At 44.4% G+C, this 25,711-nt stretch overlaps 1 protein-coding gene and 1 pseudogene across 12 annotated transcripts, besides 7 other annotated features; both read left to right on the top strand.

The window, feature by feature from the left end:
* Positions 229–754: an enhancer, noted in NCBI's record as "NANOG-H3K27ac-H3K4me1 hESC enhancer chr12:57081953-57082478 (GRCh37/hg19 assembly coordinates)". NCBI's record gives its function as "activates a minimal SCP1, AML or CMV promoter by ChIP-STARR-seq in naive H9 embryonic stem cells {active_cell/tissue: H9 hESC(naive)}" and the evidence as "EXISTENCE:reporter gene assay evidence [ECO:0000049][PMID:30033119]".
* Positions 403–592: a silencer, noted in NCBI's record as "silent region_4565". NCBI's record gives its function as "represses an Ori minimal core promoter by ATAC-STARR-seq in GM12878 lymphoblastoid cells {active_cell/tissue: GM12878}" and the evidence as "EXISTENCE:reporter gene assay evidence [ECO:0000049][PMID:35858748]".
* PTGES3 (prostaglandin E synthase 3) lies at positions 639–25,574 on the top strand. 12 transcript variants are annotated; one of them, NM_001282604.2, is made up of 9 exons: positions 639–925; positions 2,006–2,054; positions 15,858–15,971; positions 16,114–16,183; positions 17,076–17,174; positions 18,559–18,648; positions 22,657–22,719; positions 24,123–24,147; positions 24,425–25,574. In NM_001282604.2, exons 2-9 carry the CDS (start codon positions 2,041–2,043, stop codon positions 24,442–24,444), a joined length of 495 nt encoding a protein of 164 aa, NP_001269533.1. In that variant the 5' UTR covers positions 639–925; positions 2,006–2,040; the 3' UTR covers positions 24,445–25,574. The 12 variants fall into 12 exon arrangements, 11 of the variants coding, with proteins under 11 accessions (NP_001269533.1, NP_006592.3, XP_005268633.1 ...); NR_104219.2 differs by lacking the exon at positions 2,006–2,054 and having other exon boundaries at positions 639–1,673; positions 22,657–23,291; NM_006601.7 differs by lacking the exon at positions 2,006–2,054.
* Positions 1,253–1,372: an enhancer, noted in NCBI's record as "active region_6514". NCBI's record gives its function as "activates an Ori minimal core promoter by ATAC-STARR-seq in GM12878 lymphoblastoid cells {active_cell/tissue: GM12878}" and the evidence as "EXISTENCE:reporter gene assay evidence [ECO:0000049][PMID:35858748]".
* Positions 1,483–1,532: an enhancer, noted in NCBI's record as "active region_6513". NCBI's record gives its function as "activates an Ori minimal core promoter by ATAC-STARR-seq in GM12878 lymphoblastoid cells {active_cell/tissue: GM12878}" and the evidence as "EXISTENCE:reporter gene assay evidence [ECO:0000049][PMID:35858748]".
* Positions 2,979–3,038: a silencer, noted in NCBI's record as "silent region_4564". NCBI's record gives its function as "represses an Ori minimal core promoter by ATAC-STARR-seq in GM12878 lymphoblastoid cells {active_cell/tissue: GM12878}" and the evidence as "EXISTENCE:reporter gene assay evidence [ECO:0000049][PMID:35858748]".
* Positions 4,760–4,839: an enhancer, noted in NCBI's record as "active region_6512". NCBI's record gives its function as "activates an Ori minimal core promoter by ATAC-STARR-seq in GM12878 lymphoblastoid cells {active_cell/tissue: GM12878}" and the evidence as "EXISTENCE:reporter gene assay evidence [ECO:0000049][PMID:35858748]".
* Positions 7,123–8,002: an enhancer, noted in NCBI's record as "H3K27ac-H3K4me1 hESC enhancer chr12:57074705-57075584 (GRCh37/hg19 assembly coordinates)". NCBI's record gives its function as "activates a minimal SCP1, AML or CMV promoter by ChIP-STARR-seq in naive H9 embryonic stem cells {active_cell/tissue: H9 hESC(naive)}" and the evidence as "EXISTENCE:reporter gene assay evidence [ECO:0000049][PMID:30033119]".
* On the top strand, positions 18,177–18,473 carry RN7SL809P (RNA, 7SL, cytoplasmic 809, pseudogene; annotated as a pseudogene).
* Positions 25,575–25,711: the final 137 nt, after the last annotated feature.

Genomic DNA, 25,711 nt, shown 5'->3' with positions numbered 1-25,711 from the left:
ATACCTTTCCTGGCTCATCTACAGCACTAAGGTCTCAAGGTAGGGGCAAAAGCCCGCCCCAATTGGCAAATGCTCCTCCTCCGCCAAGAACCTCGAATTTCCGCTGTCCCTGGACAGAGCCTCCAACCTTCAGAAAAATGGCGAGGTGGACCCAGGCCCTTGATTCTGAAGTGAGCCCTTTTCCACAGCACAGGCTTTTTACAGGTTTTTGTGGTGGAATGATGACTCAGTGAGCTGATTTACTCCCTCAAGAGTAACCAACGCGCCATTTCAGTTCTCCAGGATCCCGACTCCGTGTCCCTCCGCCTCAGCCTTGCCTCCCACTGTCAACGCAACCGTTTCTCAGAGAAATCGCCGAAGGCGCATGGCAGGGCAGTTGGGCCACTAACGGTTTTCTAACGCGAGAAGACAGAGCGGGAGGAGAGGCGGGAACGCGTAGGGACTAGCAGGGGGCGGAGTGGGGGTGGGGTGGCGGACGAAGGGCGGGGCCGGCGCCAGGAAGGATCGCGAAGGAGCTGGGAGGCCCCGCCCTTTCCGTAGATATCTCTAGAAAGCCGCGCCGGAGCCCAAAAACAAGGACTGCGCACGCGCGGCGGCAAGGCCCGGGCATTTTGCTGCGTCACCAGCCGCCGCCCGGCCTCACCACCCCTCGTTTGCACGCACGCACGTTCATTCTCCGTCCTCGCGCCCCTTTTCCTACACTTTCCTCTTCTCCCCGACCGGAGGAGCCGCTCTTTCCGCGCGGTGCATTCTGGGGCCCGAGGTCGAGCCCGCCGCTGCCGCCGTCGCCTGAGGGAAGCGAGAAGAGGCCGCGACCGGAGAGAAAAAGCGGAGTCGCCACCGGAGAGAAGTCGACTCCCTAGCAGCAGCCGCCGCCAGAGAGGCCCGCCCACCAGTTCGCCCGTCCCCCTGCCCCGTTCACAATGTGAGTGCGACACCCCGCCGAGGGAAGGTCGCCGAGTGAGGCCGAGGCCGCGTTGGGGGCTCCCTGGAAGCGGCCCCCTAGCCTTTCTCGCATCGGTGGTGGCAGTCGTTCCTGCCTGGGGGCGGGAGGTCCAGGATCCTTGTTCCGGTTACCGTTGGCGGGTGGAGGACATTTTTCCTCCAGATGTCTGCTTCCCCCACCCCTGAACCGTTCCTTGGCTTCCCCATGCCGGAAATCCTACTTTTACCCCTTTGGCTGTCTGGGTTACTCGCCTCTTTCGGTAACTTCACCCTAGGCCTTAAGCTCCCGGTAGCTGCTCGCCATGCGGCGCCCTGAAGCGTGAACCTTCGTGGGTCGCCTCTCGGCTGCTTGGGCGCTCCGGTTCTGTTGCTTTGTGGTCCCGGGGCCAGGCCCTGAGTCGAGTGCACCTGTGGTGGGTGCCGCCAGGTGCCTGGCGGAGCTCCTGGGAGAGCCCCACGCGGACCTCGCCGTGAGCTGCAGGTACTGCTAGGCAACTAGAAGGAAGCCATGCCCACGCCGCAACATACTTCCCTCTCCAGTGTCTGGGTTTCTTGAGTGTGGGTACTTCCAGTCCGCCTCCTAACTCCAGTCTCTTGAAAACACGGGAGGTTGCCAAAACTCAGCCGCTTCCCTGGCAGCGAGGAGGAGTTACCATTGAGCAGGTAGTTCCGCACGTGTCGACTTTGGAAAGATACGGACATTTTCTGTGTTTCATGTTCTACTTGAGGTGAGGTTTCACTATCTTGTTACAGTGTAGGATGAAATAGGTATGTAGTAGGCATTTAATTAACCTACAGTCGTCCCAAAGATCTTAAATTTGTGTGGAGGTGAATACAGATTCTATGGCAGTCTTCATTTTACGATGATAAAGGAAAGCCTTGGCGATTTTAACCGGTAAGAATTCTTGGCACTGCCGCGTACAGTGGGAACTGCCGGTTTTACAGGGTTTTTTTTTTTTTTTTTTTTTTTTTGACGGGAGGTTATTTTTCAAGGTACTAACTACGTCCTAAAAGGTATGGAGAACAATTAAGGTGGAACCTTTTTTTTCTTTTGTTTTAGACTCCATTCAGAAGAGAGAAGAGGGGAGTGACTTTATGTCTTTGGAAAAGTAATAAGGATTTGCTTGATTCAAGTCATGATACTGAGGCTGAGTATATTGGCTAGAAATCTAAAGGGATGCGTGAGGCTGAAGCGAGTTTATCACTGGGAACAAGCTTCTAGAGCACAGCATGTTAGAATTTTTGAAGGAGCCCCCTCCCCGAAAGTGATACGTAATCGGGGTTTTAAAAAATTTGAATTAGGCTGGGCGCGGTGGCTCACAACTGTGATCCCAGCACTCTGAGAGGCCGAGGCGGGCGGATCACCTGAGGTCGGGAGTTCGAGACCAGACTGACCAACATGGAGAAACCGCGTCGCTGCAAAAATACAAAAAAAATTAGCCGGGCGTGGTGGCACATGCCTGTAATCCCAGCTACTCGGGAGGCTGAGGTTAGGAGAATCGCTTGAATCTGGGAGGTGGAGGTTGCGGTGAGCCGAGATCATGCCATTGCACTCCAGCCTGGGCAACAAGAGTGAAAACCCGTCTCAAAATAAATAAATAAATTTGAATGTATATAAAATAGTTTTTGCTTTTCTATTTGAAAGCTCTCCTAAGTAATGTAGAAGGGACATCAGTCTTAACCTTTCATACTCTGAAAATCTGTAAGGGGAAATTTTTTGTCAGATGAGGCATTAAGCAGCTTTTAATAATAGAGCCAAACAACATATCTTTTCGCGAAAAGTATGTTTAAAATTGGCTTGAAGTAGAAGCATTTGATGGAGGCCACATGAGATATTTAAATAGGTAAGGAACGGCTATTACTAGGAAAGTAGATTTAAAAACTTGGGTGAAAAGTAAGTGTAAGGCCAGGCGCGGTGGCTCACGCCTGTAATCCCTATACTTGGGAGGCCGAGGCAGGCGGAACACGAGGTCAGGAGTTAGAGACCAGCCTGGCCAATATGGTGAAACCCCGTTTCTACTAAAAATACAAAAACTAGCTGGGTGTGGTGGTGCATGCCTGTAGTCCCAGCTACTCCGGAGGCTGAGGCAGGAGAATCGCTTGAACCCAGGAGGTGAAGGTTTCAGTGAGCAGAGATTGCGCCGTTGTACTCCAGCCTGGGCAATAGAGGGAGACTCCGTCTCAAAAAAAAAAAAAAAAAAAAAAAAGTAAGTGTAGCAGTAGAGAGACTATTCCAAAAAGTAGCCTCTCTAGTTAAAAAATAAAAATGCTACTTTCATGCCGGGCGGGGTGGCTCACTCCTGTAATCCCAGCACTTTGGGAGGCCGAGGCGGGTGGATCACGAGGTCAGGAGATCGAGACCATCCTGGCTAACACGGTGAAACCCCGTCTCTACTAAAAATACAAAAAATTAGCCGGGTGTGGTGGCGGGCGCCTGTGGTCCCAGCTACTTGGGAGGCTAAGGCAAGAGAATGGCTTGAACCCGGAAGGCGGAGCTTGCAGTGAGCGGCGATTGCGCCACTGTACTCCAGCCTGGGCGACACAGCGAGACTGTCTTAAAAAAAAAAAAAAAAAAAAAGAAAAGAAAAAATGCTACCTTCAAAACGAGTGATTCAATGCCACTTGAAGAGTGTTGGGCTGGGGGAAACAAGTGTTTTGAAGAGACCAGCTAAAATATTCTTTTAAAAATAATATATGCCGTTTAGTAAATTCTTCAGGGACTCTTAACAAGCTAAAGACTTAAATTTTAAAATGAAAGTTGTAAGTCAGTTATTTGAAGTGGAAGAAGCCTTTAATGGGTCGTCATCCAGTCTTAAGAATCTGGCTGATAAGGGTTTATTTTGTTGATAACTTGTTTTAAAAGTGTTTTTTTTGGAGACAGGGTCTTCCTCTGTCACCCAGGCTGGAGTGCAGCTGCAACCTCTACCTCCCGGGCTCAAGCGATCCTCCTTGCCTCAGTCTCCCGAGTAGCTGGGACTGCAGGCAAGCACCACCATGCCTGGCTAATAAATTTTTTTTAAGCTCTGGGGAGAGAGAGATTTATGCTGGGTGTCTTAAAGGCTTGGGAGTGTGTTTTCTCATTTGATTTACTCATTTGCTCTTCAGCGATTTCGTAGTTACATTTCTTTAAATCCTAAGTTATAAAAGTTTGTCTCATAATTTACATAAAAGCTCTTAATTTCGGACCTATCTTGGAGAAGGCTGGGATTTTTAGGACCTTCCCCCACTTAAGATTTTCCGCTTAACTAACCTTGCCAGAGGGTGCTACTTCGCATTTTCTTTTTGAATCATTGTCGTTCGACCGATTAAAAATAGAGAAAAAGTAAAATGTTTTATTTATTTTAGAGATGTTGGAAGTTGTTGTTTTTCCTGTCTAATGTCTTGTATATAATTAGGAAGTTGTCCAGAAACTTGCGTCTCTGATTTTGGTAAAAATCTTCCTGTCATTCAGCTGTGTAGGAACGAATCTCCAAAATAAAATTGTCCATCTTTAGCCTGCAAAACAAATTGTCGTAGTGAACATATGCTATATTGTTAATTGCTATAACTTGAGTATCTGATGGTGGGTGGCCTTTGTTCAGTATTGATTTCCTGTGCACTGTAACCTGGCAACTGGATTTTTAATTTTTCTTCCTGTGTTCAGTTAGACTTTAACTAGAAGGCAGTAGAAACTGGAAGTGAAAAATTTCTTGAGTGCAAGCCAGTGTTTTATTGCTAAATTAAGATTCTCCTGACTAATTGGATTTTCTCGGTTTAAAAATCTACAAGCTATCATTTTTGGGTCTTGTGGTTAGCGATTGTCTCTTTTCAGGGGAAAAAAAACCTTTGTAAATATCAACTGTTCAGAACCAATCTCGCTGTTAAACACCTAAGATCATATTTACGTGAGCTCAAAAAATACTCTAGTGAGCATATTTTGCTATGGAAATAGTGTATTGAACTTTTTACTATTTACTGTGTGGATCGGCAATTACAGTTTTGGGGTTTTTTTTGTTTGTTTTTTTTGTTTTTTTTTTTTTTGAGACGGAGTTTCGCTGTCGCCCAGGCTGGAGTGCAGTGGCGCGATCTCGGCTCACTGCAGGCTCCGCCCCCTGGGGTTCACGCCATTCTCTTGCCTCAGCCTCCCGAGTAGCTGGGACTACAGGCACCCGCCACCTCGCCCGGCTAATTTTTTGTATTTTTAGTAGAGACGGGGTTTCACCGTGTTAGCCAGAATGGTCTCGATCTCCTGATCTCGTGATCCGCCTGCCTCGGCCTCCCAAAGTGCTGGGATTACAGGCGTGAGCCACCGCGCCCGGCCCATAGTTTTGGTTTTTGTTTGTTTTTTTGAGATGGAGTCTGGCTCTGTCGCCCAGGCTGGAGTGAACTGGTGCGATCTCGGCTCACTGCAACCTCCGCCTTCTGGGTTGAAGTAGTTCTCTGCCTCAGCTTCCTGAGTAGCTGGGATTCCAGGTGCCTGCCGCCATGCCTGGCTAATTTTTTTTTTTTTTTTTTTTTTTTTTTTGAGACAGAGTTTCTCTCTTGTTGCCCAGGCTGAAGTGCAATGTCACGGTCTCGGCTCACCGCAACCTCCGCCTCCTGTGTTCAAGCAATTCTCCTGCCTCAGCCTCCCGGGTAGCTGCGATCACAGGCATGCGCCACCATGCCCGGCTAATTAGTAGAGATGGGGTTTCTCCATGTTGGTCAGGCTGGTCTCAAACTCCCGACTTCAGGTGATCACCCGCCTCGGCCTCAGAAAGTGCTGGGATTACAGGTGTGAGCCACTGCATCTGGCCTAATTTTATATATTTTTAGTAGCGATGGGGTTTCACCATCTTGGCCAGGCTGGTCTTGAACTCCTGACCTCATGATCCACGCGCCTCAGACTCCTAGAGTGCTGGGATTACAGGCGTGAGCTACTGCCGCAGCCGGCAATGATAGATTCTAGAATGAGGCTGCTTCCCTGCTTCCTCGGTATACCTTTGTAAATTTTTTTTTTTTTCTTGAGGCGGAGTCTCATTCTGTTGCCCAGACTGCAGTGCAGTGGCGCGATCTTGGCTCACTGCAACCTCTGCCTCCTAGGTTCAAGCGATTCTCCTCTCTCAGACTCCCAAGTAGCTGGGACTACAGGCATGTGCCGCTATGCCCAGCTAATTTTTTGTATTTTAGTAGAAATGGGGTTTCGCCGTTTTGCTCAGGCAATCATCCCACCTTGGCCTTCCAAAGTGCTAGGATTACAGGTGTGAGCCACCACGCCCGGCCTTTTTTTTTTTTTTTCTTTTAAATGGAGACGGGATCTTACCGTGTTGTCCAGGTTGGTCTTGAACTCCTGGGCTCAAGTGATCTTCCTCCCAAAGTCCTGGGTTTACAGGTGTGAGCTGCTGCACCCGATCCTTGGTATACCTTTGAACTTGCGGTTTTCCGGGAATATTTCTTCTTTTCTGAGACACTGTCTCACTACTTTGCCCAGGCTGGAGTGCAGTGGTGTCATCACTGTCTGCAGCCTCAAACTTGGGATCAAGCCATCCTCCTGCCTTGGTCCCCCAGTAGTTGGGACTACAGGTGTGCACCACCACACCCAGCTAACTTAATTTTTTTTAGAGACGGGGGTCTCACAATGTTGCTAAGGCTTATCTTGTCTCAAACTCTTGGGCTCAAGCAGTCTTCCCTCCTCAGCCTCCCAGAGTGCTGGAATTGGAGCCACTTGCTCATTGATATTTTAACTTCACCTTCAGCATATGCTCTTTTCCCATTTTGTATTCTGAAGCTGAATAAAATGTGCTGTTGGGGCTTTTCTGTGCCTCAGGTGCTCATTCACATGAAGCCACACTTCATTTGATAGTGCCAATGTCAGCTGGGCACGGTGGCTCACACATGTAATCCCAGCACTTTTGGAGGCCAAGGCGGGCAGGTCACTTGTGGTCAGGAGTTCCAGACTAGCCTGGCCAACATGGTGAAACCCTGTCTCTACTAAAAATACAAAAATTAGCTGGGCACCGTGGCGGGTGCCTGTAATCCCAGCTACTTGGGAGGCTGAGGCAGGAGAATGGTTTGAACCCAGGAGGCGAGGAGGTTGCAGTGAGCCGAGAATGCGCCACTGCTGCACTCCAGCCTGGGTTACAGAGTGAGACTCTTTTTTTTTGAGATGGAGTCTTGCTCTGTCGCCCAGGCTGGAGTGCAATGGTGTGATTTCGGCTCACTGCAAGCTCTGCCTCCTGGGTGTTCAAGCGATTCTCCTGCCTCAGCCCCCTGAGTACCTGGGATTACAGGCGCATGCCACCGTACCTGGCTAATTTTTGTATTTTTTTTTTTAAGTAGAGATGGGGTTTCGCCATGTTGGTCAGGCTGGTCTCAAATTCCTGACCTCAGGAGATCTGCCGCCTTGGCCTCCCAAAGTGCTGGGATTACAGGCATGAGCCACTGCACCCGGCTGATTCTTTTTTTTTTTTTTTTTTTTTTTTGAGATGGAGTCTCACTCTGTTGCCCAGGCTGGAGTGCAGTGGCGTGATCTTTGCTCACTGCAGGCTCCGCCTCCCGGGTTCACGCCATTCTCCTGCCTCAGCCTCCCGAGTAGCTGGGACTACAGGCTCCCGCCACCTCATCCGGCTAATTTTTTGTATTTTTAGTAGAGACGGGGTTTCACTCTGTTAGCCAGGAAGGTCTGGATCTCCTGACCTCGTGATCCGCCCTCCTCGGCCTCCCAAAGTGTTGGGATTACAGGCATGAGCCACCGCGCCCGGCCTGATTCTTAAAATACCCATTTACACAGCACTAATTTGAGAATCATAAAGGGGCTGTCCGAAATAGGATTGGGGCTGTCTGAAATAGGATTGGGGTTCACGAGATCAAGCCATTGCATTCCAGTCTGGACAACAAGAGCAAAAACTCTGTCCAAACAAAAAAACAAAACACAACTACAAATGGGGGGACCAGGTATGGTGACTCACACCTGTAATCCCAGCACTTTGGGAGGCCGGGGTGGATGCATCACCTGAGTTCAGAAGTTTGAGACCAGCCTGGGCAACAAGGTAAGACCCCATCTCTACAAAAAATAACCTGGGTGTGTGGTAGCATGTATCTGTGGTTCCATCCACCATGGAGACTGAGGTGGGAGGATCACCTGAGCCTGCGAAGTCAAGGCTGTGTGAGCTGAGATCACGCCACAGCACTCCAGCCTGAATGACAAAGCAAGAACTGGTCTCAAAAAAAAAAAAAAACTTTTAAAAAACAAAAACTACAAGTGGGTGGAGGGTGCCCTACACTTATCCTGAATCAGGAATAAACACATATGTATTCCCTCATTTGAAAGGAGAACTGGGCCAGGTGTGGTGGCTCACGCCTGTTAATCCCAGCACTTTGGGAGGCTGAAGCTGGAGGATCACCTGAGGTCAGGAGTTGGAGACCAGCCTGACCAGCGTGGTGAAACCCCATCTCTACTTAAAAAAAATTGCTAGGCCTGACGGCACATGCCTGTAACCCCAGCTACTTGGGAGGCTGAGGCAGGATAGTCGCTTGAACCTGGGAAGCAGGGGTTGCAGAGAGGCAAGATGACGCCGTTGCAGTCCAATCAGGGCAGCAAGAGTGAAACTCTGTCCCCCCAAAAAAAAAAAAAGAAAGAAAATTGGGTTGGGTGCAGTGACTCACACCTATAATCCCACCACTTTGGGGGACTGAGGTGGGCAGATCACTTGAGGCCGAGTTCGAGACCAGCCTGGCCAATATTGCAAAACCTCATCTCTACTAAAAATGTGAAAACATTAGCTAGGTGTGGTGACGCATGCCTGTAGTTCCATCTACTCATTGTGAGGCTGAGGCAGGAGGATCACCTGAACCCCGGAAGTGAAGATTGCAGTGAGCTGTGATCGCGCCATTGCACTCCAGCCTGGGCGACAGCAAGACTTTCTCAAAAAAAAAAAAAAACCAAAACCAATAAAACAAAAATGGAAAACCAGCGTTTATGAAATCTCCTTTTGCCTTCCATGAGGATTACACCATCTCTTTTTCTCCTATTAACATATGGAGAGGGCTGGGTGCGGTGGCTCATGCCTGTAATCCTAGCACTTTGGGAAGCCAAGGCAGGTGGATCACTTGAGGTCAGGAGTTAAAGATCAGCCTTGCCAACATGATGACACCTCGTCTCTACTAAAAATACAAAAATTAGCCGGGCATGGTGGCAGGCACCTGTAATCCCAGCTACTCGGGAGGCTAAGGCAGAAGAATTGCTTCAACCTGGGAGGTGGAGGTTGCGGTGAGCCAAGATCATGCCACCGTTCTCCAGCCTGTCACTCCGGGGTGACAGAGTGAGACTCCGTCTAAAAAAACAAACCCAAAACATATGGAGAGGGGGCTGAGTTTAGCTTTAACTTTAGCTTCTAAACTAATTATACTGGATTTATCTCTAGCCTTTCTGCTAACACTGGCTAAACTCATAACCATTGTGTAAGACTGTTAATTCATTTTAATAGTAATATCCCTATAGATTCAAAACTTTCCACCTCTGCATACATTATGTAAATAATCTACTTAAAGCAAAACAACAATAAACCCCACAGGCGGACATTCCATGCTTTTTTTTTTTTTTTTTTTTTTTGAGGCAGAGTCTCACTCTGTTGCCCAGGCTGGGGTGCAGCAGGGGCACATCTCAGCTCACTGTAGCCTCCGCCTCCTGGGTTCAACCGATTCTCATGTCTCAGCCTCCCAAGTAGCTGGGATTACAGGTATGCTACCATGCCCAACTAATTTTTGTATCTTCAGTAGAGACAGGGTTTTGCCATGTTGGCATGGTTGGTTTGAACTCCTGGCCTCCAGTAATCTGCCAGCCTTGGGCTCCCAAAGTGCTGATATTAGATGTGAGCCATCACTCCTGGTCTCCATGCTTCTCTAAGTCAGGGTCTTGCTATGTGGCCCAGGCTGGAGTGCAGTGGTACAACCATGCTCACTATAACCTCAAACTCCTTGTCTCAAGCAATTCTCCCACCTCAGTGCCCCCCAGTTAGCTAGGACTACAAGCATGTGTCACCATGGCCAGCGATTTTTTTCTTTTTGGCAGAGATGTGGTCTCGCAGTGTTGCCCAGGCTGGTCTTGAACTCCTGGCCCAAAATGATACTCTCACCTTGGCCTCCTAAAGTGCTAGGATTCCAGGCATGAGGCACAGTGCCCAGCCTATTCCATGCTGATGTGACAAGCATTTCTAAGCTCAATAGAAGGGCTATATATACCAATCCAAGCAATTACATTTTGCATAACCTAAAATCCTCTATAGTCCTATCTAAAAGGTCTCTTTGTTAGCCTTGAAAGGACAGAGACCGTATTTGTTCCTAAATACCATAATTTTAATATGTTAGTATCTGGTGAGTTATAACTCTAATTTATAAAACACTGCAAGCACCCTTCACTATAAAAAATTGATGCACCAAAGAAGCTAGATGGAAACAGTTTGCTAGGAAAAGTGTCCCAGTTATTTTAATCCATTTGATAGTTTTACTATGTGCAATGCACATTTTATTATAAAAGACAAAACAGGCTGGGTATGGTGGCTCACTCCTGTAATTCCAGCACTTTGGGAGGCTGAGGCGGGTGGCTCACCTGAGGTCAGGAGTTCGAGACCAGCCTGGCCAACATGGTGAAAACCTGCCTCTACTAAAAAACAAAAATTAGCCAGGCTTGGTGGCGGGCGCCTGTAATCCCAGCTACTCAAGGGACTGAGGAAGGAGAACTGCTTGAACCCAGGAGGCAGAAGCTGCTGTGAGCCGAGATCACGCCACTGCACTCCAACCTGGGCGACAGAGCCAGACTCCATCTCAAAAATAATAAATAAATTAAAAATACCTATTTGTAATATGTGAGGAATGAGACATCAAAGTTCTGCTATGGAAAGGAAAAAAGTAGTTCCTGGAGTTCATAAATGGTTTTTCCTTCTTAGGTATCAAACACCTTGCCTATAAATGTCTGACACCAAGCTGTCTCCCACATACTCATTGCTCAGGGAAACCGTAAGATATTTGAGATCTTCTGTAATCAGCTGTAGTACTATAAAACTTTCTGAATAAACCTGCTAGTCCTGTGGCCTGTGGCTACCAAATCATGTGCCAAGATGTATCAGGGCCCCATGGAGGAACTCACAACTACCTTGGGATATTTTAAATTTCAGAGTAATTCAGTGATACTCAACATAAGCCAAGACACTAAGCAAACTATTAGTTTCAGGTTGTTCAGTTTCAATATGAGATTGTACTGCAAACCCCTCCATTAAGTTTCATCTTCTAAAAACTGAATTTCTGGTGGTTGCTATAACTCAAAAAAACACAGGTACCCACCCCACCAAAAAAAAATAATAATAATAATGGGGAACAAGGAGTGAGATGATAGAAGTCATTTCAAAGTTTGAGAAGTTATATAGTATCCAAAAGCCATACACATTCCATTGATAGGTATGGTTATATAAGAAACTATATATATTTTTCTTTCCAATAATGTAAATTCGTTTTTCCAATAGCTACTAGGCTGCTAAGACAATATAGTTATGTTGCTTGGATACAGCTATGTCATCAAAGCAACTGCTAGTTACTCCTTTTGGCTTAAGAGCACAACAAAACTCCTCAGACACCAAGGGCACTATATACCAGGAAGGCTTGTGAACCTCTGTCCTAGCGAGTTATTTTATGTGGTAGTTTCCACTCTAAGATACAAAGGTGAAAGCTGTTCAAGGTAATGTTTTATGGAAAATGTAGCACTTTTTTTTTTTTTTTTGGGTGGTGCGGAGAAGGAGTCTCACTCTGTCGCCCAGGCTAGAGTGCAGTGGCGCTATCTGGCTTACTGCAACCTCTGCCTTTCATGTTCAAGCAATTCTCCCGCCTCAGCCATCCTAGTAGCTGGGATCACAGGTGTGCACCACCATGCCCAGCTAATTTTTACATTTTTAGTAGAGACGGGATTTCACCACGGTGGTTGGCCAGGCTGGTCTTGAACTCCTGACATCAGGTGACCTGCTCACCTCAGCCTCCCAAAGTGCTGAGATTACTGCCATAAGCCACCGCACTTAGCCAGCACTATTTTTTTTTTTTTTTTTTTTTTTTTTGAGTCGGAATCTCACTCTCTCACCCAGGCTGCAGTGCAGTGGCACGATCTCAGCTCACTGCAACCTCCACCACCGGGTTCAAGGATTCTTGTGCTTCAGCCTCCCAAGTAGCTGGGACTATAGGAGCGCGCCACCATGCCTGTCTAATTTTTGTATTTTTAGTAGCGATGGGGTTTCACCATGTTGTCCAGGCTGACTTCAAGTGATTTACCTGCCTTGGCCTCCCAAAGTGCTGGGATTATAGGCATGAACCACCACGCATACCCACTTAGCACTTTTCTATCAAGCAACTCTTGTGGCTTTCCACATTCCGTCTTTTGAGCACTCTTTTTTTAAAAAAATTACTTTCTTGCTTTGGTTTTAGACCCTGAAGCATTCTTCTTTTAACATCCCCAGGAGATAAAAGAATTTTTCTTTGTTCAAGAAAGACTCAAGGTCAAATATCACTCTCTCACTGCCTCCATAACAAATTTTAGACTCTCAGGACTCCATTATCATGTTGTCAAGTATGCAGAAGCTAGTTTAGATTATATAATAAAACAAACTGGAAGTACAGAGACATGGTTAGTTACTTTGCAATAAAAGGACCGCTGGAGAAATTATTGTCCCTTTTTGTGAAGTGAAAAAAAATAAGCCTTCTGTCAGAAATGCTGGGTTCCAATCCTATTTTGGCTTTTTTTTTTTTTTTGGGGGGGGAGACACAGCCTCTCTCTGTTGCCCAGGCTGTAGTGCAGTGGCGTGATCTCGGCTTACCGCAACCTCCACCTCCACCTCCCCCTCCCCCTCCCCCTCCCAGCCTCCCAAATAGCTGGTATTACAGGCATACGCCACCTCGCCTGGCTAATTTTGTATTTTTAGTAGAGACGGGGTTTCTCCACGTTGGTCAGACTGGTCTCAAACTCCCAGCCCCAGGTGATCCATCAGCCTTGGCCTCACAAAGTGCTGGGATCATGGGCTTGAGTCACTGCGCCTGGTCTGCAGTTTTTGTGTTGTGTTTTGAGACGGAGTTTCACGCTGTTGTCCAGGCTGGAGTGCAATGGCGTGGTCTGGGCTCACTGCAACCTCCACCTCCTTATTTCAAGCGATTCTCCTGCTGCAGCATCCTGAGTAGCTGGGATTACAGGTGCCCATCACCACACCCAGCTAATTTTTTGTATTTTTAGTAGAGATGGGGTTTCATAATGTTTGCCAGGCTGGTCTCTGAACTCCTGACCTTAGGTGATGCACCCATCTCAGCCTCCCAAAGTGCTGGAGATTACAGGCGTGAGCCACCGCACTCGGCCCTGTTTGTAGTTTTAATGTGTTAGCCAACTTGTATAAAGGGTCAGCCAGTAAATATTCAGCTTTGCAGGCCACAAATATCTCTTATCTCATTCACATTTTTTTTTTTTTTTTTTTTGGTCTCATTCTGTTGCCTAGGCTAGAGTGCAGTAGTGTGATCTTGGCTCACTGCAACTTCCGCCTCCTGTGTTTTTTTAAAAATATACATTTAAAAAATGTAGGAATCATTTTTGGTTCATGGCCTAACCACAGGTTTTGATAATTTAAATTTGTTTTATCTGGGACATGATCATATAGCTTGCTAAGGCTTTTTTTCTTTTTCTTTTTCTTTTTCTTTTTTGAGACAGAGTCTTGCTCTGTCACCCAGACTAGAGTGCAGTGGCGTGATCTTGGCTCGCTGCAACCTCTACCTCCTGGGTTCAACTGATTGGCCTGGCTCAGTCTCCCAAATAGCTGGGACTACAGGTACGTGCCACCACGCCCAGCTAATTTTTGCAATTTTAGTAGAGACGGGGTTTTACTATATTGGCCAGGCTGGTCTCGAACTCCTGACCTCGTGATCCGCCTGCCTCTGCCTCCCAAAGTGCTGGGATTACAGGTGTGAACCAGCACTTTTTTTTTTTTTTTTTTTTTTTGAGACCGAGTTTCACTCTTGTTGCCCAGGCTGGAGTGCAATGGCCTGATCTCGGCTCACCGTAACCTCCACTTCCCAGGTTCAAGCGATTCTCCTGACTCAGCCTCCTGAGTAGCTGAGATTACAGGCATGCACCACCACGCCTGGCGAATTTTTTTTTTTTTTTTTTTTTTTTTTTTTGAGATGGAGTCTTGCTCTGTTGCCCAGGCTGGGGTGCGGTGGCCTGATCTCAGCTCACTGCAAGCTCCGCCTCCTGGGTTCATGCCATTCTCCTGTCTCAGCCTCCCGAGTAGCTGGGACTACAGGCGCCTACCACCATGCCTGGCTAATTTTTTGTATTTTTAGTAGAGACAGGGTTTCATCGTGTTAGCCAGGATGGTCTCAATCTCCTGACATTGTGATCCTCCTGCCTCGGCCTCCCAAAGTGCTGGGATTATGGGCGTGAGCCACTGTGCCCGCCTGAATTTTTTGTAATTTTAGCAGAGACGAGTTTCTCCGTGTTGGTCAGGCTGGTCTCGAATTCTCGACCTCAGGTGATCCACCTGCCTCGCCTCCCAAAGTGCTGGGATTACAGGCGTGAGCCACCGCGCCTGGCCTGCTAAGGCTTTCATAAGAAAGTATCACACACTGGGTGGCTTAAACAGCAGAAATTTATTTCTTCACATTTCCACGAGGCTGAAAATCCAAGGCGAAGGTGTCAGCAGGATTAGTTTCTTCTGAGGCCTTTCCTTGGTTTGCAGATAGCTATCTTCTTTCTTCCCTCTGTGCTAATCTCTTTATATAGGAGGACAACAGTCATTGGATTAGGGTCTATCCTAAGACCTCATATTTACTTGTCATTTAAAGACACTTTCTCCAAATACAATCCCATTCTTAAGATGTACTGGGGGTTAGGACTTCAATGTATTAATTTTGAGGAAACTGATAAAATTCTAGATTGCTGAATTTGAGGAAAGGAGATTGATTCTCCTGGTTTCAGTGAACTTAATGTAAAAAGTGAAGCTCTGATGTACCAGTGTTTTTTGTTGTTGTTGTTTGTTTTGAGACAGAGTCTCTGTTGCCCAGGCTGGATTGCAGTGGCATGATCTCAGCTCACCGCAGCCTCCACCTCCCGGGTTCAAGTGATTCTTGTGCCTCAGTCCCATCCCTCAAGTATCTGGGACTACAGGCCTGCATCACCATGCCCAGCTAATTTTTTTTTTTTTTTTTTTTTTTTGAGACAGTCTCGCTCTGTTGCCAGGCTGGAGTGCAATGGCGCAATCTCGGCTCATTGCAACCTCCGCCTCCCAGGTTCAAGCGATGCTCCTGCCTCAGCCTCCCAAGTAGCTGAGATTACAGGCGCCTGCCACTGTGCCTGGCTAATTTTTGTATTTTAGTAGAGATGGGGTTTCACCATGTTGGTCAGGCTGGTCTCGAACTCCTGAGCTTAGGTGATCCACCCACCTCAGCCTCCCAAAGTGCTGGGATTACAGGCGTGAGCCACCGTACCCTGCTTTTTTTTTTTTTTTTTTTTTTTTTTTCCGTATTTGTATTTGTAGTAGAGTCGGGGTTTCGCTGTGCTGGCCAGGCTGGTCTCTAGCTCTCCTGGCCTCAAGTGACCCACCTGCCTTGGCCTCCCAAAGTGCTGGGATTACAGGTGTGAGCCACTGCACCCAGCCAAGTAACATAATTTTTGATAGGACTAGATAAACGGCTAACTCTACTAAGCATTGTTTGGTTTTTAAATCTTTCCTATTATGAAATTGGAATCATTCTGAAACTAAATCTTGTTAGACCCATAGGTTTTAACTTGGAATGTAGCTGTTAGGGTAAAAATGTAGTTTTTGTTTAAAATTGTAACAAACTGCCCTGAAATAATGCTATAATGGTGTCGAAGGTTAGTATGTGAATGTTTAGTTAATGAATTCCAGCTTGACTTTCCCTACTTTATCCTTTTGTAGGCAGCCTGCTTCTGCAAAGTGGTACGATCGAAGGGACTATGTCTTCATTGAATTTTGTGTTGAAGACAGTAAGGATGTTAATGTAAATTTTGAAAAATCCAAACTTACATTCAGGTAAGTTAAGCTTTTTATCCAATGATGTAAAATAGTCATTCACACAACTGAATAACTTTGACTGGCTTGTCTTTTCATTGAAGTTATTATTAATCTTTGTCTCTTTGAAGAGGCTTAATTCTTTCTTTATTATTTTATACAGTTGTCTCGGAGGAAGTGATAATTTTAAGCATTTAAATGAAATTGATCTTTTTCACTGTATTGATCCAAATGTAAGTAGTCTTTATGCTTTAATCCAAATTTTAGTTGTGAGGAAACAGACATACCAAGTATTCTTTTTAGCAATGAGCATTAGTTCTGTTTTTCTTAACAGTGAGGCAAACTATGTATATTTACATTTTGTAGAATATTTCCTCCAAAATTGGTTTCTGCATACTTTTTGTTTTTGCTATCACTGTTTGGGCTTAGAGTAGTATCCTTGAGGCTCGTCTCATCTTTTTTATTTGTTTTGTTTTTTTGTTTGTTTGGTTTTGTTCTTTGAGACTGCTGCAGTACAATGGAGCGATCCCGGCTCACTGCAACCTCTGCCTCGTAGGTTCCAGGGATTCTCCTGCCTCAGCCTCTGGAGCAGCTGGGATTACAGGCACATGCCACCATGCCTGGCTAATTTTTGTGTTTTTAGTAAAGACCATGTTGGTCAGGCTGGTCTCAAACTCCTGACCTCAGGTGTTCCACCTGCCTCGGCCTCCCAAAGTGCTGGGATTACAGGCATGAGCCACTGCGCCCGGCCAAGGCTTCCCTTATCTAAGAATAGAATCTTTAAACCATTCTGTGGTTATATCATTTTTAGTTAAAGTTTTTAAGGTTTTATTCTGTTTATCGTGTGCAGGAAAGAAAAAAATGGTACCAGGTTAAACTTTAAACTTTATTGTTGTGCAGATTATTTCAGTAGGAAATAGAAGGGAAAAAAAAATTTTTTTTTAAATGAAACTTAAAGGGGGTTGGGGCAGTTGGATAGTTTGAAGTTTTTAGTAGTCAAGGGCATGTTTCAGAGTCCAGAGAAAATTTAGGTAAAGAAATGAGAAAGGTGAGAAATGACAAGCTATTTTCTATCATGTAGTGATGCTGGAAAGATAAATGGTATGATGGTCCTTTTGTTTTTAGGATTCCAAGCATAAAAGAACGGACAGATCAATTTTATGTTGTTTACGAAAAGGAGAATCTGGCCAGTCATGGCCAAGGTTAACAAAAGAAAGGGCAAAGGTAGGTTTCATTTTCCTTTTTTGAAAAGTTTGATATTTTTATTTTAGGTAATAAAAGATGTACTTATTTGATGTAAGGAATATGGCTGTGTTTTTGTTTCACAGCTAAGTATAAAGCCTCATGTTCATGTTTTTTGTCTACTCAGTTTTAATACGAAGTGTGATCAGAATATCAGTTATTAACTGGTGTAGAATCTTTTGTACTTAAGAGACAGACTTTGCATAAATTACTCAGCTATCACATGGGAGGGGACAAAGCTTGGTGAAAAAATAATCAACTGAAAATAGTTCTTACTAGTAAATTTGTTTTCAAAAGGTATGTTTAACAATTTTCAGTGTTTTTTTTCCCCCAAAACAGGGTCTCTCTTTGTCACCCAGGCTGGAGTGCAGTGGCACGATCTTGGCTCACTGCAGCCTCAGTTTCCCAGGCTCCAAGTGATCCTCCCTCCTCAGTCCCCCAAGTAGCTGGGACTGTAGGGGCATGCCACAACACCTGGCTAATTTTTGTATTTTTTGTAGAAAGGGGTATCACAGTGTTGCCCAGCTTGGTCTTGAACTTCTGGGCTCAAGCAGTCTCCCCACCTCAGCCTCCCAAAGTGCTGGGACTACAGGCATGAGCCACGACACCAGCCTAGTCTTTTTTTTTAGGTAGTCTCATGCCACTCATGCCAGAGTGCACTGGTGTGAACATGGCTCACTGTAGCCTCCACCTGGGCTTAAGCGATCCTCCCACCCACCTCACCTCTCCAAATAGCTAGGATTGTAGGAATGTGCCACCACGCCCAGGAAATTTGTTTTTTTGTTTTTTCCCCAGATACAGGATCCACTATTGCTCAGGCTGTCTCGAACTCCTGAAGGATTACACAACTAGTCTTTCCACCTTGGCCACCCAAAGTGTTGGGGTTACAGGTGTGAGCCACCTCATTTAGCTTAGTCTATTCTTTGTGTGCTAATTACATGCCCTCCTAAAAATACAAAGTCACAGTTCAAAAAATATTGTTTTGCCAGGCACCAGTAGCATGTGCCTGTTGTAGTTAAAAGCTACTCTGGAGGGTGAAGTGGGAGAAATACTTGCGCCCAAGTCTGGGTTGCATTGCCATATGTCAGGTAACCACGCTAAGTTAACATCAGTACGGTGTTGTCCCAGGAAGCGGGGACCACCAGGTTGCCTGAAGAGGGTAAACAAGACCCTTGGTCAGAAACGGAGCTGGTCAAAACTCACATATTGATCAATAGTGGGATTGCACCTGTGAATGCTTGCTGCACTCCAGCCTGGGCAACATAGCAAGACCTGGTCTCTTTAGAAGAAAAGAAAACGTAGTCTTAAGGTTCATGCCAAATGCAAATTAGCCTAATCTTAGGGTGATATTTGTATTGATTTATAGCTTAATTGGCTTAGTGTCGACTTCAATAATTGGAAAGACTGGGAAGATGATTCAGATGAAGACATGTCTAATTTTGATCGTTTCTCTGAGGTAAGTTCCTTTAAATGGACCTCTCCCCATTCGAAGCACACGGTACCTGTCTATGTAGTCAATTTAATATGGTTTTGGGCACCTAATGGTATTCATGATGCATGTTATTTTATTTTTAAGACCATTTTGCAGTCATAGTAAATAGATGTTAACAATGGCAATTTTAATCCTGAAGTTGAACCATTTTAATGATTTTAAAAGGAATTAGTGTTAGCTACAAAAGTTACAAAAGTTAATGCATTAAGACAAACTAACACAGCTAGTTTGCTAATTTCATCATTGGGACTTTTTTTTTTTTTTTTTTTAAAGCATGATTGCAGTAGTTGACTTGGATTTTGAAGTCATAAAATAAGACTATAAACTTTTGGCCGGGCACGGTGCTCACACCTGTAATCCCAGCACTTTGGGAGGCCAAGGCTGGCAGATCACGAGGTCAGGAGATCTAGATCATACGGGCCAACTTGGTGAAACCTCATCTCTACTAAAATACAAAAAAAATTAGCTGGGCATGGTGGCGCGCACCTGTGGTCCCACCTACTCCTGAGGCTGAAACGGGAATTGCTTGAACGCTGGAGGCAGAGGATGCAGTGAGCCGAGATCGTGCCACTGGACTCCAGCCTGGCGAAAGAGCGGGACTCGGTCAAATAAATAAATAAATGCAGAACGATAAACTGTTAAACACAAGAATCATAGGCTGGGCGCGGTGGCTCACGCCTGTAATCCCAGCACTTTGGGAGGCTGAGATGGGCGGATCACCTGAGGTCAGGAGTTCAAGACCAGCCTGACCAACATGGTGAAACCCCGTCTCTACTAAAATACAAAAATTAGCCGGGTGCAGTGGCGGGCGCCTGTAATCTCAGCTACTCAGAAGGCTGAGGCAGGAGAATCGCGTGAACCCAGAAGGCGTGAACAAAATTAGCTGGGCGTAGTGGTGCATGCCTGTGATTCCAGCTACTCGGGAGGCCGAGGCAGGAAAATCACTTGAACCCGGGAGGTGGAGGTTGCGGTGAGCCGAGATCGCTATTGCACTCCAGTCTGGGCAACAAGAGCAAAACGCCGTCTCTAAATTAATAAATAATTAAATAAAACTACAAAAAAATAGCTAGGCGTGGTAGTGCACGCCTGTAATCCCAGCTACTCCGGAGGCTAAGGCAGGAGAATTGCTTGAACCCAGGAGGTAGAGGTTGCAGTGAGCCGAGATCACACCACTGCACTCCAGCCTGGGCGACAGAGCAAGACTCTGTCTCCAAAAAAAAAAAAAAAAAAATTCATGGTGAAATGTTTACCATGAGATATACAAGGAAAAAAGTTTAAGAAAGTCTGTTTTCTAAGATGTCACCCAAATAACGTTGCCATGGCCCAAGAATAAATGATTCATCTCTATATAGGCAGAATAGACTTTATCAAATGTAGTAGAATAAAACTAAGTACAGAAAGAACATTAGTGTATAAGTCGAATGCATACTGATGAAATCCATTTCTTGTTGCTATTTGAAATTTTTCATTAACTAGATTTTGTATTTTGAGACCTTAAGAGTTAAATAAAAGGAGCTAAGTTTCCAGCTTTATGCAACTGCTTATTTAACAGTTCTCCACACGTGACTCTGGCATGGTGATTTCAACAGGAAGGGAGGATGTTCTATTCATATTATTTTTTAATTGTACTTTCCTTACCTGTAGAAATCGGTGCCACCATTTACCTAGCTGTGCAAGCCATTGTGTTGCTTAGGCAGGTCTTGAACTCCTGAGCTCAAGTGATCCTCCTGCCTCAGCTTCCCAAAGTGCTGGGACTACAGGCCTGAGCCACCACCCCCAGCCTTATAACACTGTTTTTGTTTTTTGTTTTTTGTTTTATTTTGCTATCTTTGTTGTCCAGTTTTTGTTGTTATCTCTTACATATCTCTTGAATATGTACAGTTTTCTCTTGCTGTTTATCTTAAGCACGTAGCGTTATGCTTGGTACATTTAGCATTTTTCCTGCCCAAAGAAACTTAAAGTATTGAGTAGTGCTTTTGGAGGTAGGGAAACTCCCAGTTACTCATTTCATTCAAGATAGATTGCCCAAAATTTTTATACTGAATCCTTTTTTGTGTGTGTTTAATTAATTGAGGTAAGAGCACTTCACATGAAATCTACTCTTTTAACAGACTATTTATTTATTTTTTTGAGGCAGAGTTTTGCTCTTGTTGCCCAGGATGTAGTGCAATGGCACGATCTTGGCTCACTCCAGCCTCCACCTCCTGGGTTCAAGCAATTCTCCTGCCTCAGCCTCCCAAGTAGCTGGGATTACGGGTGCCCACCACCATGCCCGGCTAATTTTTGTATTTTTAGTGGAGACAGGGTTTCACCATGTTGGGCAGGCTAGCCTCGAACTCCTGACCTCAGGTGATCCACCCGCCTTGGCCTCCCAAAGTTCTGGGATTACAGGCATGAGTCACCAGACCTGGCCACGCCCAGCTATCTTTTAAGTGCATGATACAGTATTGTTAACTATAGGCATAATGCTGTACAGTAGTAGGTCTCTGGAACTATGCATTTTGTGTAATTGGAATTTGATACCTATTTAACAGTAGCAACTCTGCATTTTCCTTCCCCCCAGCTCCTGGCATCTACCATTCTACTCTCTATTTTTGTGTGTCTGACTATCTTAGGTATCTTACATAATCTTAGGTATCTCATATAAGTGGAATCATGCAGTATTTGTCCTGTGACTGGCTTATTTCACATAGCATGACGTGCTTCAGATTCTTCATTGTGTTTTGTCACATAAGGCAGATTTTTTTCTTTAAGGCTGAATGATACTTTTAGGCTGAACACATTCCATTGTATGTTTGACTATCTTTTTAAGGTCCTTTCCCATTCTAAAATCTGGGTAATCATGTATTTTTGAAGTTTGATTTTTTTTCCATGCATATGTGATTTTATTTTTCTAAAATTTAAACATTACAAAAATGGTTTAAACTTGAGAAAATAAGTTTCTCATCATCTGATAATAGTTTAAGTTTAAATCATTTCTTGGTTCTTCACAATATCTAAAACCATGATGAGAATACCAGGCCTGGCACAGTGGCTTGCTCCTGTAATCCCAGCACTTTGGGAGGCCGAGGCAAGGGGATCACTTGAGGCCAGGAGTTCAAGACCAGCCTGGCCAATATGGTAAAACCCTGTCTCTACCAAAGATACAAAAACTAACTGGGCGTGGTGGCATCTGCCTGTAATCCCAGCTACTCAGGAAGCTGAGGCAGGAGACTCCCTTGAACCCGGGAAGCGGAAGTTGCAGTGAGCCGAGATTGTGCTGCTGCACTCCAACCTGGGCAACAGAGCAAGACTCCATCTCAAAATAAAAAAGGCTTGGCATGGTGGTTCACGCCTGTAATCCCAGCACTTTGGGAGGCCAAGGTGGGTGGATCACTACAGCCCAGGAATTCGAGACCAGCCTGGGCAACATGGTGAAACCCCGTGTGTACCAAAATACAAAAAATTAGTTGGGTGTGGTGGTACGCGCCTGTAATCCCAGCTACCCTGGAGGCCGAGGCATGAGAATTGCGTGAACCCAGAGGCGGAGGTTGCAGTGAGCTGAGATCACGCCACCATACTCCAGCTTGGACGACAAAGCTAGACTCTGTCTCAAAAAAAAAAGAATACCTTAATACATGTTCCACCTAACTTAAGATAGATAGCTGTGCAACTACAAATGAATCCCATTCTTTTCCTTAACCACCAGAGGTAACCACTACTCAAGTAGAATTTTTAATGTTTGTCAAACCTGTTGCATGAATAGCTTTGCTTTTCTTTAGGGAAAATTTAGTTTTAATTTCCATATGGGTTTTTAGGATTTTGTATAATTACCTATAATCTTCCTTTTCCAGAAGGGAAAGATGCTTATATTTGCATTTTGCATTTTTTGATATCTGTGGCAGACTTAAGGTTTATTCTGAAGCATACAGCATTAATAATTAGGGCCTAACTTAACATCATTTTTAAAACTAATTTTTACACTTCAAATAGATGATGAACAACATGGGTGGTGATGAGGATGTAGATTTACCAGAAGTAGATGGAGCAGATGATGTAAGTCTAAAAATTCTTTTTTCTGTTTACTTTCATACTATTAAATAGTAAGAAACAACATATTTACAAATGGTTTTATATAGATTCACAATTACTTCTTATTTTCTAAAAAAAAAGAAAAGGGAAAAGCAATTTTTAAAATGTGCCCATTTTTGACGAATGGGGGTATCTATTAGGGAACTGGTTGTACCGTAGACCATTCCTAAATGGATTAGATTTCCAAAGAATCATTGTATAGAGACATTATATATTAATACCGTACTCAATTATAACAGTCAGTTTAGGCCGGGCGAGGTGGCTCATGTCTGTTATCCCAGCAGGCCAGGTGGGCAGAGTACGTGAGGTCAGGAGTTCGAGACCAGCCTGGCCAACATGGTGAAACCCTGTCTTAAAAACTTAGCCAGACATGATGGCAGGTGCCTGTAATCCCAGCTACTGGTGAGCTGAGGTGGGAGAATCGCTTGAACCTGGGAGGCGGAGGTTGCAGTGAGCCAAGATCACACCATTGCACTCCAGTGTGGGCAGCAGAGCGAGGCTCCATCTCAAAAAGAAAGAAGAGAGTCAGTTTATAGGTATGATTTTGACTAAGAAAGTAAGTTAAATAGGTTTTATGTCAGGATTGGTCAGAGACCGATAAAACAGATGGACATTGGGAGGCGGAGATGGGTGGATCATGCGGTCAAGAGTTTCAGGCCAGCCTGGCCAAGATGGCGAAACCCCATCTCTACTAAAAATACAAAAATTAGCCGGGCATGGTGGCGGGTGCCTGTAATCCCAGCTACTTGGGAGGCTGAGGCAGGAGAATCGCTTGAACCCGGGAGGCAGAGGTTGCAGTGAGCCGGATCTCGCCACTGCACTGTAGCCTGGGTGACAGAGCAAGACTCCATCTCCCCCCACCCAAAAAAAAAAAAAAAAAAAAGATGGACATTGGAAATCTGTAAGAGGAAGATACACTAAACTACTTTTCTCAACATCTTTCCAACCCCAGCATCCTGTTAACATCTCCCAGAAAGTTATTTAATGCTATTTAGAAAAACACTTAATATTCACTCAACAGCTAGGATTAGAGTTCACTGTCTTCTATCAGTCCATTTTTCTTCATATTGATCCATGTTTTCTCTTTGAATGCCGAGATAGGTTAATTTAGGAATGGATTCAACGGGTGGGCTAAATTGTCACCAAAAGGCACACATCATTTTTTATAGGTAGATAAATCCTCTGCTGTACATCCATTCACCTTAGGTAAACCTAGTCAAGTCCAATGACTAAATTTCTAGGCTTGATATGACTACCTACCTGTGCTACTTTAGTCAAAAATATAGCACTTGAACTTTTTTAGGTAAACTGTTCAGTTAGCAAACGAATATTTGATCAGCTCGGTAACTTTATTTTCCCTCTTTCAGGATTCACAAGACAGTGATGATGAAAGTAAGTGTATATAAAAAGTATGTTTATACAGTGATACTTTGCATCAAAAAACAAACTCAAAATAGAGATGTTAACTTCTTTGGAAGTAAAGTAATTTTTTCTTTATGACCTTGAATAAATAACCAAAGCAGAAATGTGAATAACTTGATAGCAAGACAACCTATTAATTCATTGGGCAACTATGTATTTCGATTTTTGGTTGCTTTTCCTTTAAGACAGTAAAATTGGTAGATTATTCACTTGTACTATATACTAATATTTTTAAAAATTCTTTCAGAAATGCCAGATCTGGAGTAAGGAATATTGTCATCACCTGGATTTTGAGAAAGAAAAATAACTTCTCTGCAAGATTTCATAATTGAGAGAATTCCTGAGTTGATAGCTCTAAAGGCAGATATGCTGTATTTGCCTACTTTAACCCATTTTTCAACCTGTTTGTTTTTTAAAAGGCTTCACTAAGGGTTGATATGTACCATTGTATGGGGCAATTTTAAGTCAGCTAAGGCAATAACCTTATGCATGAACATTTCCCAGACTTTCATGAAGCTGTTGAGGTCCTAGGCAATTAATGCAGCAGTTGCGATAAATAAAAACATCTCACCTAAGTCTCCTTTTCTTCATAACATAGATACTGACATGATAGGAAGCTCTCAGCTTAGGGAAAGAGAATAAATTTTAGATTATAGAACATGGATTCAAAAGTGACTGGAACAAATTGGCTGACACCTTACTGGTAACCTGCTATTCTTCTGGTGTTATCCTTCAGGATTGTTCCACTAAAATTTATTTTTCAAAAAATTTACTTCACATTATTCTATGTAAGTGATGACTTGTCAGTGTTCCAGGTGTATCTTAGCTAAAACTAGAGAATGCCCTAACTTAGATGGTTTTTGAAGCCTATACAATTGGTATTGTTTGACCCTTAAGCTTTTACATCTCTTAGCATGGAGGACGAAGAAAGCTGTACATTGTTGCTTGAGAGTCTGTACATTTAGTCCAGATTTGTATTTGCACTGTCAGTATGGCAAATGAGTGAAAAATGTTTAATACACTATTGGATTTTTTATTTCCTTTTTTTGATTCAGCTTATACCCGGGCTGAAAACCTCAATTTATGTTCATGACAGTGGGGATTTTTTTAAATGTCTACATTCTTTCTAATAAACTGTTGGAAGACTTCTTGGCTGTCCTTTTAAGTGTCTGGCTTACTGTAATTTTTATGTATTTACCATTTACTGGAATGGAGTTTATTTGAGGAAGAATTTGGGATTATTCCTCTGTTTGAAAAAAGAGGCTTGCTGTAATGTCACAGGAAACCTTTTAAAAGTGGATCTGTAATAGCATATTGTAGATGCACTTTGCAGCAGTTGGAAAAGAAAGTGTTGTGTGATTTGATTGAAATAAAACTAAATGTGTTGTCCTCCTAAATCTTTGAACTTCTGCATTTTGGCAGTTTTCATTCCCTCACAGCTTCTGTATTTGTCATAATGTAGAAACACTATGTATTTTAGTGTTTCTTTGTCAGATATTCAGGACCTGTGTTGCAGGCAGTTAAAGTGCTGGTG

This window comes from Homo sapiens, chromosome 12 (assembly GCF_000001405.40).
Source record: "Homo sapiens chromosome 12, GRCh38.p14 Primary Assembly".
NCBI lineage: Eukaryota > Metazoa > Chordata > Mammalia > Primates > Hominidae > Homo > Homo sapiens.
The sequence above is the reverse complement of the archived record's forward strand: the minus strand, read 5'-3'. Positions and strand labels throughout refer to the sequence as shown.

Coding starts and splice junctions, on each gene's coding strand:
- PTGES3 (XM_017018716.2), top strand. Junction 16,184..17,075: donor TTCACTGTATTGATCCAAAT/GTAAGTAGTCTT, acceptor TTTTGTTTTTAG/GATTCCAAGCATAAAAGAAC. Junction 17,175..18,558: donor TAACAAAAGAAAGGGCAAAG/GTAGGTTTCATT, acceptor ATTGATTTATAG/CTTAATTGGCTTAGTGTCGA.